At 31.9% G+C, this 24,632-nt stretch overlaps 1 protein-coding gene across 35 annotated transcripts in view, besides 1 other annotated feature; it reads right to left on the reverse strand.

Annotated features, from left to right (window-relative positions):
• ARB2A (ARB2 cotranscriptional regulator A) overlaps window positions 1-24,632 on the reverse strand; it is a 493,975-nt gene that overhangs the window by 270,771 nt on the left and 198,572 nt on the right. The window lies entirely within an intron of this gene.
• Window positions 2,784-4,121: an enhancer, noted in NCBI's record as "VISTA enhancer hs271". NCBI's record gives its function as "enhancer in: midbrain (mesencephalon)[11/14] | forebrain[13/14]" and the evidence as "EXISTENCE:transgenic organism evidence [ECO:0001131][PMID:17130149]".

Raw genomic sequence — 24,632 nt, forward strand, 5'->3', positions numbered from 1 at the left:
CATGCTAGTTATGCCTGTGCGTTTTAAAATGCTGAATGGAAGTCCAATGTTCTCCTAACTTCTTGTGAAAATCTATTATAAAGTTGTGTAAATATAGTAGTTCTAAAACATTTCTGGTAGCCACATGGGCTTTCAAAATATTATCACTTTGACCCAATCATATATCATACAAACATATGCTTAAGTTTTTAAGCTAATCATAAAAGCTGTTTAACGATTACAGTACCCAAATTATTCTATATTAAATATACCACCTTTCTCTTTTTTCTTTCAATTAAAATATCATGTGTTTAAATTGTTTTCATTGTTTTTTCAAGAATATATCAGTGCTTGTGGTGCTAGAGTCCACCTGCAAGTATGAGGACATAACGAAGAATTCTATTCATTCAGTCAATAATTCATTAAATACCGATTTCATACAACAAACATTTAATAAGCAACTACTATCTACCAAGCACTATGCTAGTTATACTTAAGAGTCTACCTGTATCCTATACTGACAGTCACTTTTCATTTTAAGATATTTTCATTCAGTAGAAAATTTTAAATCCAAATCATATACAAATTCCTAAAATGTCTACATGAGACCATTTTATTTTTCAAAAAAAGGGAAATGTGAAAAGGAAAAAAGGAGAAAAGGGTAATGATAAAATGCTCCTAAAACCAGGCTAACTAGATTTTCAAGGATGATTAACTTTAAATGGTAAGTTAAGTTTGTGTTTGTGTTAAGAGTGGTATTTAAACTTACTCTGTAACAATGAAAATGTAATGTTTGAGGATGTGTGTTTGTGCGTGTGTGCATGTTGTGTTGTATACATTCACATATTTTAACAAGTAACATCATTTCATAATCTAAAGGAAACACTTCAATACACATATATCTCCTAACAGGTGCAAATGAGTATAGCTATGAATTTCTCTTCCCACAATGACCTATGTCAGAAGATCTTCTCATACTTCTTCTGCTAAATAATTTAATTACTTATGAGTTATGGTTTCTTTGTAACCTTTTAAATGACTAGCTCATTAAAATGCAAAAATATGCAAAACATGATGTCACTGGGTCAAACAGCTGTGTTGGTAAAATTATGGCTGTGAATGTCCCCAAGAACATGAAAATATTAATAATTTATATTGCTCATTAGATGGCAAAAACTCTTTAAACAGATTTAGAGACAGATTAATTTTATAATCACAAAATGCTACACTACCTCATGGTAACAAATCTTTCCACCATCTGTGACCCTTTGGTATACATGAAACATATAAAAATTCAAAATGGCTTAAGGTTTTTACATTATAATATGCATATTCAGGAAAAAAGTCATAAAAACCTGAAATATGGTGGTAAAAACTTTGTTAAAATATCCATTTGCCAACTTTAATATGAACTTACTTTTCTTTCAAAGAGACAAGATACAGTAATAGCAAATAAGTTATAGTATGAGACAGTCAACAAGTCATAGTCCTGCAAACCAATAATAAGATAATTGTCTTACACTTCTTAAAATTGTATGTCACACTATGAGTTCAAATCTTTCATAGAATCTTCTTGAATGACAAGAGTGATAAAATTATATAAACAAAGTACTATCTATCATATTTGAAGTTCAAAATGTTTCATGCCTCTGCTTTACAGTATCATGATGGTGCTGAAAGTAAAGTGCAGGAAAAAAATCTCCCCAACTATCAGTTGTTTTTAGATATAGAAATATTTTTAGTTTAAAAACAAATGGGATAATTATTAAATCTGTGCTATTTAGCCAGGAAACTAGCTTCCTAATGATCATGTTTTTCTATCTCTTAAGCAATTTAAACATCAAATACATTATTTACCACGTAAATTATAAAAATATGTTCATCTAGTATCAGCCAGCAGCAACAGAATTACTTTCATGTGCACTTAATAATGTTCTTTTCATTAATAATCTATCATGGGCAAAAATTAATGAATAGACAATTTTGACATGTGGTCTTTTAAAAACACACAATGATTAGGTAATCCTAATTTTAAAATTCTATTTTAAATTTCCTTTTTAGAAATGTTTAAAGTAGAAAAAAAGCTGTATGCCCATCTCAGTTCTGATGTGAAATAATATTGAAGATAGTTGTTATGTGGAAGGGAAGGGTTAATGGGGATTTTAAACTAATGAACACAGTGACACAGGGCTCTGAAGTAAGCCATGCATAGTTCTAAGCCAACCTTAGAATTTCAACCCTTCCAGCCCTGGCTTAGATCATACAGGCTCTACTAGAAATGTCAAGAATGTGAAGAGGCGTCTTTAGCCAAAAGGACACAACTTTAAGTACATAATGCTAGCTTACACTGGTTCGTTTATTCCCCTCTTCATTAGTGAGAAAATGGACTCTCGTAAATGCTTGTTAAAATCCCTACCTACACTCCTCTGGTTAATGTGAGTGATCCATTTGTGTTCATTTCTGCCTGACAACGCTTACTGGAAGATTAATTGCCCCATGTCAAACTGTAGCAACCCTTGTCCCCTTCTCATTTCCTTTTCTCTATGCTGTTGAAGTAATAATGGACCTTGTCTTTTGTTTTAAGACTGGGATTAGGAGAGAGTGAGTTTTTCTTCAGACGACTTTATGGAGTAGAGTTTGGTTGAATACTTATAAGATTTACCGTGAAAAGGAAGCACATAGTCCTTTTTGCCCACTGTTTAACTTCACATATCTTGCTGTCTTTGTTTAGCCTTCATTCCTGTATGAGCCCATTCTAAGAAAATCTACAAGTAATCTATACATGGACGTCATTTTGAATTCTCTTACCTGGGGAACTTCAAAATTGGCACTTATAATTGCCCCCTCCTCCCTCAATAATACTTCACAAAGCATACTGTCCCTTGTAAAAATATATTATTTCAATTATGTGCACAGTGGTGTTTTAAGAAGAATTCCAAATTTTCATTCACATAATCATAAAGACCATCTTCCAGGCTCCAAAATTTAAAAAACTAGAACCTCAACAATAATATACAACTCATAACAGCAGCAACATCATCAAAAAAACTACAACACTTTTCTTGATTGAAATAAGCAAAAAGATATCACCAGACAAATGTATACTCCAATTCTCATTTTGTCTTTTTGCTGGAACATTAAGGAGTTTTATGTTATCACAAAACCTCAGAAACTACCAAGCAGAAAAGAAACCTTATTATGAGTAACTGGCAGTATCTCATTAAATCTTTCAATTGTCCAATCGTCCACAGCAGACCTCCAAGAGACTTGTATATTATACTCATTGCAATTAACCAAACAAAAGATTTTAACCGCCAGAGCATTCGGGAAATGTTTGGTTGAGGCTGAAGAAGTGAAATTATATTCCAGGGTTGGCCAGATGTCACAAGGGGTGATATGCATGTGCTCATTTCATCTGCAGCTTTGTGCTGGACCTGTCTATTTACAGCACTACAGCTAAGCACTCTGAAGGCCTATTCACTCATGAATCCTTTCAGAAAGTGCTGAAGCACCCCTTAAGCCCACTTAACTACCATTTTCACACACTCTCCCAGCTCTCCTTTTTGTCCTTGCTTACATTACATCAAACACAGGAACAAAGCAAGAGAACAGAAACTCAGAGGCAGAGAATAGACCCATCACAAATATTAATTTGAAAAGGTGTTGAAGTGCAGAATCTGCTTTTATGCACAAGGACAACTTGCATTTTTTGTGTGAGATTCTCTTAGCTGCAATAAGCTAGGTTTTCAGCCAAAGAGAGGCAAAGACTCAAAGTGCAATTATACACAGGGAACTGCTTCAAATCAAACAATGCTCCGAACTGCTTTAGATCTATAGTGATAAAGACTTGGCAAGCACTATTAAATAGAAGCCCTATATGAGATGCAGAGTTCACTCTATGGATGCATACAAAAGAGAATACAAAAAGAATACTTTTCACACAAAAGTAAAACTACAATTTCACTTTTAATTCACTTGCAAACAACACTTTAATACAATTTCTTTTTATAAGATTCTTCTTAGCATAAACTATGACTCCTTAAAAGTAGTTTCAACTAATTTTTACTATATCTGTTCTTAACATGCCAATTAGAAGTTCTATACTACCTCTGGGGGGGGGAAAACCACACACCACTGTGTCAGCTAGTCTATTTAAAATATGTGATATTCAACCATACTTAGTTGAGTGACTTGAATTTCCTATTTGAAATAGATTGTTACCTCATCCCTTTCCCTCTCAACACTTGCAAAATCTCTTTGGGTTTGTTTCACTGCTCAGCAATATACAACTGTTGCAAAATTTACTGAATTAACTTTATGAATTAAAGACTTAGTCCCACAAAATGTCTCTTGAGAAACTGATAGAAATTTGGCTCTTAAGAGTCCTTAGCAGATTACTTAGCATACTTCCTCTGTCTAAAAACCCTGGATGATCTAAAATCATATTCATTGTTTTAAGTCTCAAAAAATTTACACCTTTAAAAAATATGGTTTTAATCTTTGCATCATTTCAAGCCCAGATCAATCTGGATTCCATTATTGGTGCAACAGTTCCGATTAAATTGAAATATTACTACCTTTCTTCCATGAAAATACATGGTTCTTTTTATCACCACCTTCTGTCTGATTAAAAAATGCCATAAAACCTAATTTTAATTTAAATCCAGCCTGATTTGCAGGTGTTCCTGGGGGTTACAAATTTATCAGGAACATAACTGCCACTGCCGAGATCAAAACACTGCACAGCACGCCAGCAACTTCATGGGCCACAGCCACTCAATGGGGAGCGGCCTCCTCACAGGCTTTATGATGAAATACAAAACAGCCAGCAGGAATCTATATCTTATTCAGACCTGAAGAAAATGTTGCCCCCTACCCTCCCCCAAAATGCATACACACATACAATTACTGATAATCTGCTTACACTGGCAGACTGTGGTGGGTTTGCTAACATTAACTGCAAACAGTCTTTTGACAGAAAATACGACTAGTCAACGGGTGTCCAGTAATGGTTAAATGAATGCCATGTTATTATCTACCACACATATAGAACAAAATAAAAAAGTAGAATGAATTTCACATGCTATTTGCCACTACAGAACTATCATTCAGTTATTCAAAATGCTCTTTTAAACAATGTAGTAAGTGATTATAATAATTAGGTAGGCACTAGGACTAAAACAAAGTATGTAATGAATACTTATTAAAGAAATATAACATTATGTCATATCCATTGTCTGGTCCTATTTTCTTTATATAACATATTTCAATAACGAGATGCCATTTAGCCAAAGGTGGCTGTATAAAATTATTTTTTTACACAAGAAGGAGAAAATCTTCTAAACCAGAAAATCACAAAAATTGTATCATATAGTTTGGGCCATTTTCAGTCAACTGTCCTCTTTTAATCACAGTGTAGCACATTATCCCTGTAAAACTTACAGACATTACCATCAGAGCTATTCTCCAAGACTCTTACTTCTAATAGGCACTCAGCAGCTAAACTTTTTTCAAAATATGTGTTGCAGGGCAATGTATAGACAAACACTTAATAGTATACACTCTGTGCAGATTCACATCCATGCTGCTGTGCTGCCAATTTTTAAAAAATGTACTCAATTAGCTAAATTATTTTTATAGACTATTTTAAAATACATCTGTTGTGTAAAGTTGAAGTACATCCTTTAAATACATATCTTACGTTGTCATGCATATGTCTGTTTAAATGTCATTAATCTTTATGAATACAATTACAAACATAATTTACTAATTTATCTCTATAATTACATTTATAATTAGAACACAATAGATGTGAGTGTATTTACATAAAGAACTAAGTTAGGAACTGTCTAAAGCAAGCAGGGCTTTCTTAGCACCATGTTTAATTCTTATTAACCCCAATGCCTCTGCCATTTCTTTGTGTTTTTTTAATATTAAAAAAAAAAGAGAGAATTGCCCAAACATTTCTGAGCTTCCAGTAATGTATTAAAATGTCTCTCAGCTTCTCTGTACACAGTGAAATGCCTGCTGAATGCAAAGTGAAGGAGGATGAATTTCTCCAGGTTCTGTACGTCTGATCTCTCAAAACCTTCAAAATCTATCCTTGATCTCAGCAAACAGAGCAGAGCACAATGTTATTTATGCATTCATTTATCTTTTCATCAAGGGTGGCTTATGTGGTCTTTACTGACTTTGGTTTCTCATCATCATCGCAGATCAGCATCTGCATTGTGTGCACTTGTAACAGGGATAATGGATCTCACTTACAATACCTACAAACTCAGCTGAGAGCCGTGCAAAGCAAATGGCCGTAAATGCACCCATCCTGGCCCAAGTCCTGATGAATAAAAATGAAGATCTTGTCAAATAATAAAGTGACAGGTTAATTTACAGCATGGAATAGTGTGAACAGGGAAAGCACTGCTTTTCCAATCTGTATGAACGGTGCCACCTATCTGCAGATTAGCAGAAAGCTTCAGAAACACTAATTCAGAAATCGGGATAAATACATGTGATGTTGCTTAGTTTTGTAAATATCACAGGAAGGGAATTGATAATAAAGGCAAATGCGAGATTAGACACACACAGTTGCTTTCCAACCAAAAAAACAAGATTCTCAACAAAGGGCTGCTGTATCAAACAGTAATAAAGAGCCTCAAGCAGTTGTCTGTGCTCATGCCAGTTTTCATGCTTTAATTCAGCTGCCCTGTGGTTCTTAGCTTCAACATTGAGATCTGCACGGCCACCAGAGATAATTATTTCAACCTTCAGGCCATCAGGCGTTCATTTTTGATCATGGATATGTAAGAGATGTTTTCTGCTTTCCGAGTCTTCCAAGTGGATATCAATAGAAGGGTAAAATAAGGAAAAGCAGTAAGCATTTGAAAAGAACTTGAACATTGAATTATAGAAATGTGATTTGCTCTATCAATTACTGTAAATCTTTCACTTTACCTGTTAACTACTTAGATATTTTAATTTGTATATATTTTCAATTAGATTTATTGCCACAAGTACTCCGACTCCAAAGGCATAACATTTGTTTTAATATTTACATTAGAATTCATACTTTGTATACTTTAATGGAAATACAAAGACATGATAGCACAAAATCCATAAACTAAGTGACTTTTTAAGTTAAATTTTTATATCACATCATAATGTGCTTTTATGCAAAACTCAAATCAGGAACATATATCATTCATTAAAATATCTAATTAGTGGTCACAGAAATCATTGAACAAAGTAATATGATAAATCTCTAAAGTGTAGGCAATTACATTTCTCTCTCTATGAAATATGGAGAAAGAACTAGTTTCCATTAAATTTGATGCAAATATTTAAATCATTCTATTAACAATATATAATCATAAAATTTAAAATACATAAACCACCCTTAATTTTAATAGGACATAGTTTTTATTTTAAAATTAACAAAATAAAATAACAAATAGTAGAGTTTTAAATATTTATATCAAGTAGAAAAAACACTTATAAGTGGTTACAAAATATAATTAGCAAACACAAAATAGAATTCATCAAAACTTTTCTCAATATTTTCATAAAGAAAAAGTGTTTAAAATACTTCAAGAATAAGCCATAATATATCAATACTATTCAATAAGAAATCTATGTCTAAGAAATTTATTTAAATAGGTGACTAGAAAAGACATAATTATGGCTGCCCTAAAAATAGTTGTACTCACCTTCAAATAAAAAATCCATTGTCATAACTATCAAGTTGGAAGCAAAAGAGATACTACAGATTGAGCATCCCTAATCCAAAAATCTGAAATCCGTAATGCTCCAAAATCCTAAACTTTTTGAGTACTGACATGACAGACTTTTGTGGACTGCACAATTCCCCAAGTGCAGATTTCCACACCTGACTTCATGTGATGGGTCCAAACTTTATTTCATGTACAAAATTACTAAAAACACTGTATAAAGTTACTTTCAGGCCATGTGTATAAGGTGTATGTGAAATGTAAATGAATTTTGTGTTTAGACTTGGGTCCCATCCCCAAGAAAACTCATTATGTATATGCAAATACTGCAAAATCTGAAAAAATCCAAAAACCAAAACACTTCTGGTACTAAGCATTGTGGACAAAAGACAACCTGAAACATGTTAGATGAATGCTAAGTCTAATAGGAATACTAATAATTTCAAAAAAGGTAATTCATGTTAAAAGGAAGGAAAATGGAATTAACTAGCATTTCAATGACTAAAATGAGTTTACATTTTAACATTTTCTTCAAAAGTAAAATCCCAACTATTTTATGGTTCCCAATACAAAATGACACGTGAGCCCAAGGGTTAATACTGTTTGCAAGTTTTTGCAACTACTGCGACATATGCTCATTTTTTCCCTCTTAAATTGAACAATACAATAAATGATTAAAAAATACATTAACATTTTCCTTAGAAAGTATAAACTTCCATATTCCGCACAATATTAATTAAATAAAATTCCAAGAAGTGATTAGAGCATCAGATTTTCAGTCTATCAGCGCTTGCATACTTTAAAGCTTTTTCCATCTTACATCAAGTTCCTAATACATAAAGGGAAAGTATAGGTTGGCATATAAACAGTAGGATAATTTAGTGTATAAAAGCAAGCCATATAACTCAAATGAAATCACTTGATTTCCTCCCAAATATCACTAGGCAGGAGTGTCCAAAATATCCCGGATCAAAACAAACAAAAAGTTATAATTTTCATTAAACTACTCCTGCCATGCTTTTTGTGACCCAGAGCTTACTCCAAAGTAGAAGCTACAACATAAAGACTTATTTATTAATCAAAGTTACTTTGCATTAAAATGTGTTTCCTTAAGCTATTTATAGATAAGGGGTGGGATCTCAACATGGTATAATTTATAAAGTCCTCTTATATAAGCAAAGAGGACTAAAAACATAAAAATTTTTGGAAAGTTTGTAGGAGAAAATATAATTGTACTTTTGAGTTTCTTACTTCTACCTCTTTCCCTGTTAAAAAGAATAATTGATGCTCCCAATAAATTAGCAAAAAGGACAAAAGAGACTGTGGTCATTTGCTAAAGTACTTTAATTGTACACAGTTTTAAGCTTAAAAAGTAGTTTTGAAAATCCATTGTAAGGATGGCAAACTGGCATAGAGGAAAATAAGATTAATTATATATTATAATACAATATTGGCTTCAATTTTATTCAAAGGAATAGTAATTCTGTAGAGATCCTTTATTGAGGTACTACCAAATCCTCATGCTAAAAATATTTGGGGGAGAGACTACTTGCTTTTCTGTGTATACTATCACTTTTCAGACTTGCTTACTAACCCTAGGAATTCGAACATCTTAATTATAGGGTCAAAAAAAAAAGGACAATACAAAATGTATAAGGCATATGATTGGCTTAGGAAGGTCTCAGAGGGTACCAGAGATGTTTAGAATCTCCATCGTTGTAACTTCAGATTGTAAGAAACCATCTCTTCCCCATTTCTTAATCCATTGCTGTACCATGTTCCCAGATAAAAGTTAATTTGCAACTCCCAGGTCATTCTAGCAATTAGGAAGCTTCCGTGATCTGAAATACTGCTTTGGAATCTATGTCCTCCAAAGATGAACACCCATCTCCTACCCCTGACAATTTTAAGGATTCTCATCATAAGATGAATACTAGTATGTCCAAAATGAGACATACGATTTCTTATAATCTGAGTATATTCTTTCAACTGAAGTATGTTCTTTTAGATACTTTTATTTTCTTCATCATTGTCTTTTATGCATGATCTTCCTGGATTTTCCTTACTATCTTTTTGTTTTGTTTTGTTTTGTTTTGTCTGTGTAAATTATTTAACAATTCTCAGAGCCAAACCTTAAGCATGACTGTTTCCATTACCCATAGCACAAGTGACATACACATATGGTACTCTCCTGCTCCTCACATGCACCTTTCTTTCTGTATCTTCTTTTGTTTGATGTACTCTTACCCCTATTCTCTTTCATTCTCAACCTTCCTTCTCACTTTTCTGAGGCTTAACTTAATTTTGGGTAGTGGCAGCTCTTAGCAGTGATAAACCTCTTTAGTGACATACAGAGTGAAAACGACCAATTGTCCATGTTATGTACAGTAAGAAAGCTCGAAATCAACCAAATTGCTAAGTAAAAGATATTCATTTGGTCACCTTTCTTCTGAGTCAATATGGGAACTATTCTCAAGTAATTTTAACAACATACATACACAAAAAATGATATGATTGGCTTAAGGCAGGTCTGAAAGCCAGTGAGAAATTATATAATCTGCACAGCCGTTAGAAAGTTTAATACATGGCTCAAGAATAAAAATTTGTAAATAATAACAATAGCTAGCACTTACTGATTGCTTACCATGTGACATGTACATAAAGCACTTCACATGTATCATCTCACTTAATCATTCCTAAAACCCTGCAGACAGATATTGTTCATATCCTTATCTTACAGCTGTTAACACAGTAAATAAATGGTAGAAATGGGATCAGAGTCTAGTTGGACTCTAGAGCTCACACCATTGACCAATATAACATGCTACATAATGTTTATTAGTTTTAGCTTATGGTAAATAGTTCCTAATTTTAATTATAATGATTTGCTGCTGCTTTTGAATTCTCAAGTGACAAAAATCATGATTCCATAGCACATATATATAGATGGCACTTCTGGCATTAACTCTGTAATGACCATATGTCACCCCTAGGGGTCAGATATATTTTAAAAGGTGAAATTAGAAACATTTGGTATCCATTAGCTAAAGAGCAGCTCATCTACCTACAAACTCTGTCACATTGCTAAAATGACAGCTTAGAGCAGTATGCATGATGTGTTTCAGGTGGTCTTCTAAGAAGATCCTAAAATAAGATCACTAAAATAGGAAACCCTTGTCTGTAAAAGTTCTTTTTCGTTCTGGTGATCAAGTTTCCCTATATATTAATGGAAGAAAAAAGCAGCAAGGGTTTAGGCTTAAAAAAAATTTTGATTATGTAGTCATTTTCCTGAGTTGAATTTAAAAGTGGCTATTATAGGCAGAACAAGATTTTTTGCTTTTAGTTTGCATTTGAAAACAGTGGCAAAAAGTGAAGGACATAAGAGGGGAACAGGAGTCTCCCGATCAACTTTAGAAATATCTATAAAGTTACTTAAGAGATTAGGACAATGTTCTTTAACAGTTAGACTGTAAGCACATGGATTAAACTATGTCCCTATTGATGGGTGATTAGGATAGTTTAATCACATGATTATTACTAGGTTAAACAGAAGAAGCCGGTTAAATGTCACATAGTAGATTATGCCAGTAGTAATAGTTTTAATGACATGCATATAATTCTTTACTTGTACTTTTTGGTGCCTATGGAGTACTTGAAAACAACAAAACTAGTTTGGGAAAAAAGTAAATATTAGCACAAACATTTTTCTATATTCAATAAATGTTGTTTAGATACACTAATTGGCTCTAACAGAAAGAAACCATTCAAGTGATAATAGAAATATTGACAAAGGCATAATGTGATTACTTCAATGAATGCTAGGTAGCTGATGACATATACTTAGTGATTAAAAAAATCAAACTAATATGGACAACTCTTTCAGGAATCCATAAATCAATTAATCAAGTAGTTTCTGAATTGCTACTATGTGTAGAACATGGCATTAGGCTTGAAAGTAACATAAATACTTTTTCAAAGAGTATTATTTTGAAAAACAAAAAATACTATTTTGGGTCTTTTTTAATTTGAGGAAGGCTCTTTGCTCAGATAATATCTAATAAAGTATTAAGGTAAAAATAAAAAGTAAACAAAGTAAATTCCACACTTAAAGATAAGAATGTGATACATGGGCTGGGAGGGGTGGCTCACGCCTGTAATCCCAGCACTTTGGGAGGCTGAGGTGGGTGGATCACAAGGTCAGGAGTTCGAGACCAGCCTGACCAACACGGTGAAACCCCGTCTCTACGAAAAATACAAAAATTAGCCAGGCTTGGTGGTGCGCACCTGTGGTCCCAGCTACTCAGGAGGCTGAGGCTTAAAGAGAATCGCTTGAACCCATGAGGCAGAGGTTGCAGTGAGTCAAGATCATGCCACTGCACTCCAGCCTGGGCGACAGAGTGAGACGCTGTCTCAAAAAAAAAAAAAAAAAAAGGTAATATGTGATTCTACTATAAGATAAATAAATGGTACAGTATCTAGTGGTTTTAGAGTACAATAACTTTAAGCATTTTTTTCAGTGGAGAAGTACAGACAAACAATATTCACATAAGTTTATCAGCCATAAAACTAAAATAAACCAGTAAAACTCAAGAAGCAAAATTGAGCAATAGTATATAAAATTAAATTAAAGTATTTAACAGTTGGTTTTAATTGTGAAATTCTAGGATTAGTTGCCTTACTTTAGGAAGAAATCTCACAATGGTAATGGTAGGATTAGTCACATAAACCGAAACCGACAGCACCCACTGGTCTGAGAACTACTCTTAGGTTTATGTCATATTCCAAACTTTCTGGCATTCTGTCTGGTTTAACTTCTCTCCTCACCTTATAGCTTTAGTAGGTCTGGTTCCTTCTCCATTCTTCCTCTAACCTAATATAAGAGAACTGGGCTGTGCTCATTGAGAGGTAAAGGCATAATAACTGCTAGCCAACCTTTTAGAAATCCGCAACCACATTTGAAAACAGACAATAATTATTCCCTTTTAAGTTCTGAGTTTGTAATAAGCATGAACAAAATTTTTTAAAATAATGTGCAGTCAAAAAGAAAAGGTGAGATTTTGGAAACCTGAGATAATGGCAAGATTGAATCTACAAAGTAGAGGAGGAAATAAGGGAAAACATCCATCTTCTTCAGGGAAACCTGAGAATGCATACATAGAAGGAAGGAGTGCACAGGTAGACAGCAAAATCAGCATATGGCTGAACAGAAGCGTAGCTCATGAAAATCAGTGTATGACCTAATTTTCTTCAAGCTAATAAACTCCACTAATAGTCATTATTTGTCCAGTTGTTATGCCAATTATACCATAAGGGCCTATATTATATTCATAAATATTCACTTACAAAAAATTCAATACTACCTCAAAAACTTTGAAAGATGTTTATAAAGTTTTCAATTGCAATAATCCTCCAGAAGTTCAAAGTCTAGTCTATGACTAGACTGTCTAGTTCTTTTGTTACTTGCTCAAGCATGAATATGTATAATATAAAGAATATAGGAGACAGTCACTGGACTGGTAGTTGGAAGATGAGTAGGTTCTCTTTAATTCTAACATGATCAATGTACAAGGGAATAGCTTACAACCTTAGGCACATTTTACATTTCTATAAATAGGTATACATGCCTAATAGTTCCCAACGAGCAGGACTTTTGACGGTTAACAAGATTGGGATGAACATATGAAAGATGACAGTTCCTGGAAGTTAAATGATACTCAGGATAACAAAAAACAGGTAAAATTAACAAAACTAGTTAAGTGTTTTAACTCCTAATATATGTGAACCTAGAACATATCTAGAAAAGCAGCTTATCTAGAATTATTTGATGGAAAGGAAAAATGGCAATCTGCAGAACTTCAAGTGTAGTAGGTAGTAGATAAGATATATAAGAGTCATGTATATATTATCATACTATAATAATATGTATTAGGGGTTCAATAAAATGTTACTTTGTTGGTTTTTAACGTATTTCTATTTTATACAAATAAAGGAAAATTATAAATAAATCACCATCAAAATCATTCCTATAAACCATATGCATAATTACTACAGTAAAATAGGAAGGCTACCCTAAATGTTACTCAGTTTTTAATCCAAATAAAGTCACACTAGTAACAGGTGTCTGCTTAAAAATGTTACCTTTGTAAAGAAATATTTTAGACATATATTTGCTATCTAGCTGGGAATCAGTAAAAAAGTGAATAGTAAGTATGTAGATTATTTGTTCTACTCTATAAAGGGTAAATAAAGCAGCCAGGGCTTGAGATAGGGTACAAAGAACGTTTCCATGGTTACATGCTTTCCCATATCAAATTAGAGCAGAATTTGTGTACAAGAGGTTTGTTGACAGCCTACATAGGCCATAAAAAGAATAGAAGGCTAGGAGTTTGAAATCTAAATATATTCTGCAAAGTCTGTTGAGAGAAAGTTGGGTGAAGAAAGCAGCATCGGGAGAGTAGCAGATTAGTTAAGAGTATCAGATGTCATTTCGTGAAAAGATAATTTTTCTTTTAGATGTGGCTCATAAAATTCTCTCCAAATGTATGATTAGCTACTCTTTTCTTCATTTCCACAAAGACACCTCAATCTGGTGTCCACCCAAGCTATTAAGAAGAGCCATTATTTGTCATGCAACTAGAAATATCAGTTTCACCACCTGCCCAATCTTGCAGATGTCACTCCACCATATTCAATCTCAAACATGGGGTCTTCAAAAGGACAGTTAAAGGGCTGCTCCCACACAAGTGCTGGCCAAGCAAGAGCTTTTGTTGTACACCTGTCCCTATTATTACTATAGGCCATTTAGTAGGGGTGAATTCTCTTTTTAGTACATGTTGAGAATTCAAGTTGGGCTAAAGAGCATTTTATAAATTGTAACATGGTCAGCGTTATGTCCAAAGCACCTCCTGGCAATTTTGACATAGAGAGGTGTTCCCACATGCTTAAATGTTTCTTTATACACCAGCAAACGTATTTGGACATTTGAGTAATTTCCTATTTTGTGAACTAGTGCACAAAGGATTGGGATATTTTACTTGGATCTCCTGTATTTTGACTATATACAATTGGGGGTGAGTTATTGTTATATGATTACTGGATAAAAAAAGCTTTTCTACTAAAACTGCTAATATTACCCAAAACTCTCTTTTAATATTTTCAGACATCAGCAATAACAACAACAAAGTAAAATAATTCTTAAGTATTTAAAATGATTTAACAGTTTATAAGAGCTAAAGTCATATACATGTAAAAACACAAAACTCATGCAGGACAGAAAACCAAATTATACATACTCTCACAAACTGGACCTGCTAAAATTAGCTAGTTTCTCTGCCATGTATTTTTCAGTAAATATGGTGGTCAATAACATTTCAGTTGTTGGTTTTCTACCAAAAGCTATACAGAATGAATGAGAACTAATTATGGTATACAGTATAATGATTCAAAGGAGCATAACATACAAGTGAACAAATCAACCATCAACTGTTAAATTGAAAATTCTATATATCTGTGTGTGTGTGTGTGTGTGTGTGTGTGTGTGTGTATAGTCCTAGCCACATAGCAGATAGTCCTAGCCACATAGCAGATAGTCCTAGCCACAAAGCAGATTTTTAAAAGCAATGACTTCACATGAGTTGGTAAATCAGTAAACATTTGATATGATTAGTTCACTGATTTCAAAAAGTGAGAATAAAAAATAGTGAAGAATATTTAACAGTTTCCTTTCTCAAGCATAATTCACCCTTAGTCTTAGCCTGTGTTTTCACCTGGCTGGCTTTGTAATGAGTGTTTCTAAAACGAATTATCAGAAGTTTCGGGAGGTACAGGCAGAAACAGATTTAAAAAGAAATTCTAACTCATGGCAGAGAAGTATTTGAAAGGAAGGAAAGAAAAAACATAGGTGACAGTCAGACTACTGTACTACTGTATAGACTAAAGGGAATAGCAGTTGCTAAGCATCACATTCATTCACGTCAGGGCTAATGGTAAGTTGAATTGTTTATTCCTTCGCATAATGCACTATGCAAGTAATAACTATGCTCCAAAATTGTTGCCTGATAGGCAACAAATTCTAGCTTTCAATTAACAGCTGACTATACCTGATATCTTTTAAGTAGACTAGATTAGATTAGAAATAAGCCTCTCCTAGAAAAAAGTTAAAAGTTATATCTTTCTCATGTGATGCTCTTTATTACGGAATATTTCAGAGTTCTGTGTAACATCTTAGAGTTGTTTCCTTTAAGGCCTATGGAAAACATAGCTAGAGTTAAGAAACAGCCTCAAATTTATGAAATTTTAACAATTAAATGAGATTGCTTAAATTTAAAATCCTATCTCTTTGTGTATAAATGATGATCTTACATTTTACTCTTACCTCCTTAAAATACATGGATCATAAATCATGTATAGTGTGGACATTTACAAATGCATTGCACATTGCAGACATTTACAAAAAGATTTAATTGGCCACAAATAAATCTATTCTAATCTAAATTTACCTTTTACCTCAATCCCATTTAGAAATGGGAGACCTGAAGTTGCAAAATATAACACCTTTTATATTAGGAGATTTTGAACTCTTATAAGAGATTCTGAACTCTTAAAAATATGTCTAATCTCTGGATATTAAGAGGAAAATCTCATTTATGCAGGTAAATTATTACACCCTTGACAAAATTTTTCTATTAAGGAGTCAATGTCTCAAATGAGTGAGGCACAAATTAGAAGCATAGGCCTAAAAAAGCAAATATACCAGGTAAGATAATAAAGACTACAGAGGAACAAAACAGTATTTGTCTCCTCAATTCTTGCTCTACATTTAATTTCATGCCATTTTGCACTTTTGCTCTGAAATCTTTACCCAAGCTCTGTCCTACGAATTGTCTCTGTCCCAAGTCTATGGGAAGACAAATATTGCTTAAACAGCTTAAATCAAGTACACATTTATTTAGGAGTAAGAAGATATGGTGAATACAGTAGACAGTTTCTTTATTCCCCAACTTTGTGTGTGTGTATGTATTACACAATGGCTCCATCATTTAAAATAGATGTAGAAAACTTAGATAGGAATTAGAAGACAGCCATGAAAAATGACAAGTAGTTAAACAAATAAATTGTTATGATTCCCAGTCTCTATTAATTCTAGTACGGCAGTGTGGTTTACAGAGACAAATTGGCAATGTCTATAATATTTCCTATATGCAAAGACATTTTCTGTAACTATTAATTGGAAGAGGGTGAGGTGATAACGTTAATATAAGAATAAAGTAACTTTTTCGGAAAAAAATCTAAGCATTGCTTAAAATCTCTTCAGGGTTTATAACGATAAAAACTGTAATTTTAAAATAAGCCTAATCTAGTTAGCTGTACTGTTAAAATAAGAGTCATTAAACAAATATGAGATACCAATAACACCTGGGCTCTAGACTTGGTGATTGTCTCTGTTTGCATACAAGGGGTTCTCTTCTATTCCTTCTAACTCAGTTATTATGTTAACATTATTTAAACCTCAATCTCTTCGCCTAGTAGTACCTAAAAATCCATACCATTACTTCTTTAAGTTATTCTGTTTAAACAAATTCAATTGCTTCCTTCTAGATTTCAATAGAATTATTGGTTATCTTCTGATAAATGCAAGTAACATTCTTTGCAAATAACCTAAGAATCCATATCATATATGTTAATACTATTTTCTTGATTTACTTCAGAACAGCACTTTAAAAAAATATTTTAATTTTGTCAAATGCTATGCCTTAATGCTACTTCAGTCACCTGGATTAAAAAGGCCTTTGATAACACTGTTTCATTTTGATATTATTTACATTAAAATAAACTAGTAAAAAGGCAATACTAGAATATTTACTATAAAGATAATCAACCAACGTAGCAATGAGCTGACATGGCAAGTCTTTTCTGTTTTACATTTCATATTTGCTCTCTTAAAAGACAGATATATGTTTGTCACTAAAATCAAAAACATAGATTACAAAATCATAACTAAAATGAAGTATTCCACTTGGCTTTTGACATACATTTTGCATTTCTGTTTCTCCTTCATATTTTTGACAAATAAACCATCAGTGATTTTTTTTTAATTGCCAGCATAAAAAGGAGAGGCTATGAGATGGTTGAAAGAGTATGAACTAAATTTGAATTCAGAAAATTTGGTTTAAACTTTCATCTTGGCCATTTACTATTTATGACATCTTGGGCAAATCCCTTAAAATACTCGAGGTCTGAATTTCCACATCTGTATAATGGGGATAATAACTACTGCCTTCTCTGCCTCAAAAAAAAGTGGAAAAATGTACAGCAATTTGTAAAAATATTGAGTGTCACAAATATTGAGTGTCACAAATAAAACATTTGTTTTTATCCTAATTTTGCCTAAGAGGCAAAATTTTCAAAATGACAGAAAAAAATTCTTAGTATATGCTAATGTTAAGCTAACATGTAAATAAAGTCTTACAATTATTTACATGTTCAGTGCATTAAGACTTACTTACATTAGACATGCAATAACTGAAAAGATAATCTGGTACCCTACTTTCTGCTAACCCCAAAAAGACTCTGCTAAGTTTGCTAATTGATTAAAGCATTTTTAGTAAGCCAGGAATCGGAGCAAAATTTTTGAGGAAAAATGAATCTTCAGTACACAAGAAAAGAAGACCTGTGAAGTGCTCTACCTTGTCTCCCCAAGTACTTATGCTGCATAATTCTCCCTTGCTGCCCTTGACATTAGTATTAGCAAATAGTAACACTTTATTTCAAAAGATTTTAGGTGCTTACTCTCTTGCTGTCTACGTATTTTATATAGATATATGAGCATGCATGCACACATGTAAGGGTAACCTCAAATTTAAAGTATGGTTTGGGATGCTACTGTGTATGGTAAAGGCACACAATCTGCTGCTTGACGTTGACTCTGCCAATGATTCTGAGAGTCAGCCAAAGAGTCAGAGTAATAAAGTAGGGGTCTTCTGTATAAGTCCCTGCTGTGAAAATAATCCTAATAAGAGATACTCCAGTGAATGATTAATTTTGTTTCTGTAACTCATAAGACATTATGACAATTTTAAGACATTATGAGTTACAGAAATAAAATCCAAGAAATCTGCACACTTTTAAAAAAGCCTTCAGGATAAAAGAGAAAATTTTACACCATTTCAATCAATTATGCTCAAGGATTCTTATTTTCAGATGTCAGTGTTTATACTCAGAGCACCTTCCCCCAAATGTAATACTCAGACTCAACTGTAGTAGCATAATGCCTAAAATACTGTATTTTTTTTCTGAGGTCATCATCTAATAGGGCAACAATGGCAATTGGAGCTTTTGGTTTACAAAGATGGAATTCATACTCTCACAATGTCAAAATCATAAAAATGAATCATTTAATATTCCCTAGATAAAATACTGTCATTTATACCAGAATATTATATATAGTTTGGACATCTCGAGTCACCAGTAAAGTCGTAATTGTGTTAAACTGTTATTTTAAAAATTCTCTTTTCATATTTTTACAAGTAACATTAAAACTTGCTGATTGTCATGGGGACATATAGCAGTTTACATTTTCTTTTAATTATATTTCTTCTAAATGGAATGCTTAGGAAGACATGTATCATGGCCAATTTTAAATGCATGCTGAAATTTGCTTCTGTTTTAATATTTTATTTATACTCAAAAATTTCTTTAGTAGGATAAGCTTTCGAAAGACATAACAACATTGAAAATACTTTTTGAGAAGGCAAAAATTTGACAATTTATCTTGATATAGCATATCATATCAATATTCCAGAAATGGTATATTTTGCTATTACCATCCCCTCAACAGAAGAGTTAAAATGCATTATCATATTTACATGAACCAAAATTTAAAACCACTTATGTGGATTCTAAAAGAACCCTATGCATACAGCAAGCATTCAATACATGTTCTGATGAATATAAATAAATGAAAAAGAAAATAAAGGACTTTTAAATTGCATAAGAAAATAGAAAATTAGGCTATTATCTAGACAGAGAACTTAGTCTAATTATTTTTACAATCATTTTCCAAATAAAATATATTAAGCTATAATGAAATATCACTAAAATAACTTTAAAATATATTTTAAATGACACACACAAAATATATTAGTTTTATTAAAAGTCTGAGATATAAACATTTAAAAAATAAACTTATATTTGATAACTTAAAACAGTGAAGTCTCATACAAAAGTATCTTGTACTTTATTCATCCCTGAAGCAAATTTAGCTATTTTTCTAAGTATATTGATTTGAGGTATTGCCTAAAAAGTATTAGATAATACAATGAAGTCTAATACAAAAGTATTTTTTGCTTTATTGATCCCTGAAGTAAATTTAGCTATTTTTCTAAGTATATTGCTTTGAGGTACTGTCTAAAAATATTAGATAATACTCACGTTAACTTTACTACACTCTATTCTATTAGAATGTAATGATAAAGTTTTTTTTTACAATTTCTACAAAGGTTACTTTCAACTGAAAACTAATAAGGTGAGGGTATGTTACCTAATAAATTCCATTTTTAGGTAAAGAGATTATTAAAACAAAAGTAGGAGAATTCTAATGAATGTGAGGTGTTATTTCACTTAAAAGCATCATTTTCAAACTTTACAGAATTGTCCTTCTAAAAACCAAACTTTCCTCCATGTTTAAAAAAAATGTAAGAGCTATTGTATAAAGAAATTAGGAGTGAAGAAGTTGGGAATTTATCTTCTAAGAATGCTGCTAGAATGAACGAGACGTCTTACATTTCAAACTTCAGAATCTGAAATTTTTTTCTGACAAAATAACAAAAGCTTTTTGAAAGGCCTTCATAAAAGAAAGCCACACTGATAGAGAAATTGTGAATAAGAAGTATACCTATAAATTTTCAAATATATTTTAATTATATAGCAAAATAATTGAATATTAAGAAAAATCATTACTTAATGACATATCACAAGAAGTTATTTGCTATGGAAAATATTTAATGGACATATGAATAAGTTTCCCTTTCCTAATGTGCCACTTCAGTGGAGAATAACAGTTAGTAATTTTAAGAGATAATTAATGTCAAAGTATGTACAAAACAGTTAACTCTTAAGTAATAGCACCGCTGAATAAATGAAATTGAATTGAGATGTATGATTAACTTGTCAATTATTTTTATTTTATGAATGAACCAGAATTAACAAAGGTAAAAATGGACAATCTTGAAAAATGAAAAAAAAATGTTATTGATCTCTACAAACGTATTATATCTACAGAGCATTAAACTCATGTTCCCTAAAATCAAGCTCTCATGCTCTATCCTAAAACAAACCTTTTTATTTCCCCATGATCACCTCTGCCCCCTGCTGCCCATAAATTAGTTATAGTCTAACATTTAAAAATAGAATTGGTAAGTAAAAACTATAGGAGGTATAATATAAAACTAATTTACTATTTTCAAAAGCCTAAAATAATCCTCTTGAAAAAAATTAAGGTTTCCTTTTCCTATTAAAATTTTCAGTTTTTTTGTTGAAAATATGAAAGCCCCCCTACTTAAATTAAAATATAGAATAAAGAACAAAACCAATGTAATTCTTTTTCTACTGGATATTATATAATTGTATATAACAATATTTTAAGTCTTAAAGAGGGTTTTAAAAATTTTTGCAGAGAAAGATAATTATCTATTATTAACAAAATGACTAATTCTTAGCTATACAAATTTATTGTGATGAAAAAGATTGCACATAAACAGAATAAGTATTAACTATAGGAATTATAAAAAAATCTAACTTCCTTACTTTTAAATATATTCAAACATTTGTAACTACATTGACATAGCTGTCTGCTAATACAGGTGCATCTATTCTATACTAGCCATATATATATATATCACTGACTTCATTCATTTATTATATATTTATCACAATAAAATTAAATGACAAAACAAAATACAACTTTGTAGTAGACATACAGGGCAGAAAATAAACTTACATGTACTGATATACTTATTTACACATTACTCTTTATTACCTATTCTCTGATAAAGTATATTTCCATGGGGGGGCAATTATATAACTATATGATCTTCTTAAAGCCTTGAAAAACACATCTGATACAAAAGAATATAAAGACCAAAATGCTGAAAAAAGTATAGATGAACATTTTTTTAAATGCAGTAACATATGTCCTTTTACAGTATGATTCTAAAAATGTTCAGAAAAAAATCTAAACTATTTAAGGTGCTTTAAACAAATATGTAGAGTATTTTATTGGGTAAACTACTTAGGTAAAATAAGCATTTTCCACATTGCTTAAAAAAGACAGCAAGAAACATGCCATAAATATTTTAGTAACAAAAGATTTTAACAATACATACTATACTACTTTAGTTCTTCACAAGACATATCTGACCTGATCCGAAATAGAACATGATAAATACTGTTCAGATATAATATATGTGGTATTGTGACACATAACTAGCACAAAAGCTCTTTCTTTAATCAAGCAATCATAATTGTCAAGGCATATACAAAGAATGAGACCTAAAATACAGTTAACATTTTAAACTACAGGGAAAAAACACATTATTTCATATGCTATGCACTCAAGAAGACATTTATATTGCAATTTTCTTACTGCTATTGTGACAGGGGAAAAAATTCTAATAGCTTCAGAATCATATGTATTCAGCTTTTTTTTGAACATCTATAAAACATAAAAACAGTTTAATGTTCATTTCCTACAAGAATTCACATTCAGAAGAGAGTCATCAAAATTTACTACATGTAAGATAAGTAATACTGACAGCGTTCTCTAGCTTAACATTTCCCCTGAATCCTCTCATTGTTGTTTAACATTACTGTATACTGGAAGAGTACGTTTCTTTTTGTTACAGTGTGCTGACTTACAGCATTTAGAGCAATATTAAGTTCTCTTTAGGAATACAGAGAACTTTCTAATACAGTCTGAAAAAATTCAAAGTAGAATCTATATTATGGAAATTAAGAATCTAGCAGCAATAATATAGGTTTTGAAACCACTAAATTTGTAGGTAAAAAGACTCAGAATACTGTAAATTTCAATTAGACCCTTGCGATTGTTTTCCTTTGTAGTAATATATCGGAATACATTTTGTCAAGATTTCTTTAATCGAAACCAAAACCCACTAATATTTGTCTTGGATTATTCTCTTGAGATATTCACATATGTTACATGGAAGAAAGAAACTTAACAACTAGAAAAAAGCTTGAAAGAAGGCTTCTTTGGAAATCTATGAAGAAGTACACAGAATTATTGAATTAAAGCAAGAAGATCATTTCAATGCTTAGTGCATTCTAAAGCATTTATATCTAGCAAGTAGATGAGACAAAATAGGAAAAGGTTCACCTTTCTACAGTTCATGTTGTTTGTGGCATTAGTCACCACACACACACACACACACACACACATACACACAAACACATTTCATAGAAATCACACTCCTACAATGTTCTTTTTAATCCGTGTCTGAGATCTGAGTGATTGTATGTTACACTTCTCTTTCTTTGATCTTCCTCAGTACTCAGCTCACTGTTAACTGTCCTGGGTGGTCTCCCATCAGGGCTTAGTGATCAGTGTCCCTCTCTATTGGCTGCCTTCTAGGGATTCCTATCAGCTGTATTCTTACATGCATCTGACAACTTTATTAGCTCACTCGGATTGTGCTTCAGAACATCTCCACAGCACATATACTCTTTCTCAAACAATCACACTTTTGTAGTTGACACAGAACAAATAATTATATGAACACTTCAGCTGTTATACTCAATAATAAAGTCGAAATGAAGAGAAATTTCACATTATGTATAAGTCAGAGCTTAGTTTTCATGTTCAGACTAAAAAAATCAATTCTAGATTGATTTTTGTGTATATATCGTTATTGTCAGAGGATTAATTGATGAATTTTTCATTTGATGAGTCAGTTGGAATAAGCTCTGAGGCACTTAGTGAGCAGAATTCTAATTTACTCTGGTTCTTCACACTCTGCAGTAAACTCATCAATTTTGATATTTTATCATAATTTGCTTGCTCCCAAAATGTTCAGAATAAGGTTCCAACACAAAATGAAAGGTATTTAGTACTGTGAATATCTTTGTATTTCTAGGCTATGTCATTAGTGTAATTTGGATTTTGAAAACTGATTGAACCCTTTTAAAAGATATTAAACCTCTGTCTGATTCAACGTGTCCATTTTGAGTTTTTATTTCATTATGATCTAAATCTCCACTGTATAGCTAGTTTCCATCCACTTACCTAAAAAGTTCTGCAAAGCAAATATAATAACACTTCAAAAACACCATATTTATAACCTGACAGTGTAAAATCACACATTAAAATTATGGAAATTTTATTTTGGTCCCAAAAAAGGCATATTCCCATGATAAACAAAAAAAACTTAAAAATCCTAAATATTTTCTAAGAAATATTAAATGCATTTTATTGCCCAAATACCATACTTGCTAAAAAATTTAAAATTTCATAGTATACTTTCAAGTGCCTCACAAGAATAAAGACAAGCAAATAATTCTTCATATTTCTTTTTCTTCTTCATATTCCTTACTGAACACAACATCTTAGAATATAGCTGTGTTTTCCAAAGGTAATCTGCCACACCTCTAAGATCTTCTATGCATTTATTTTTCATGTAAAGGAAGACCATTTTTTTAAAAAAAAATTTAGCATACATATTACTTTGGAAAATTTAAGTTAATAAACAACTGTCATAACTAACTGTATCAAAGTTCTTTCAGAGATAATTTCTTCTCCCTCTGGAGTTTGCTTTTAGGTTATTCTTTTCAATAACATCTTTACGTTTATTATTTTCCCCATAGTCTCCTTTTTCTCTGTACTTCTGGTGCTAAGTCCTTGCCCTAATTCTAAGG

The sequence above is a fragment of the Homo sapiens genome, chromosome 5, assembly GCF_000001405.40.
Source record: "Homo sapiens chromosome 5, GRCh38.p14 Primary Assembly".
NCBI lineage: Eukaryota > Metazoa > Chordata > Mammalia > Primates > Hominidae > Homo > Homo sapiens.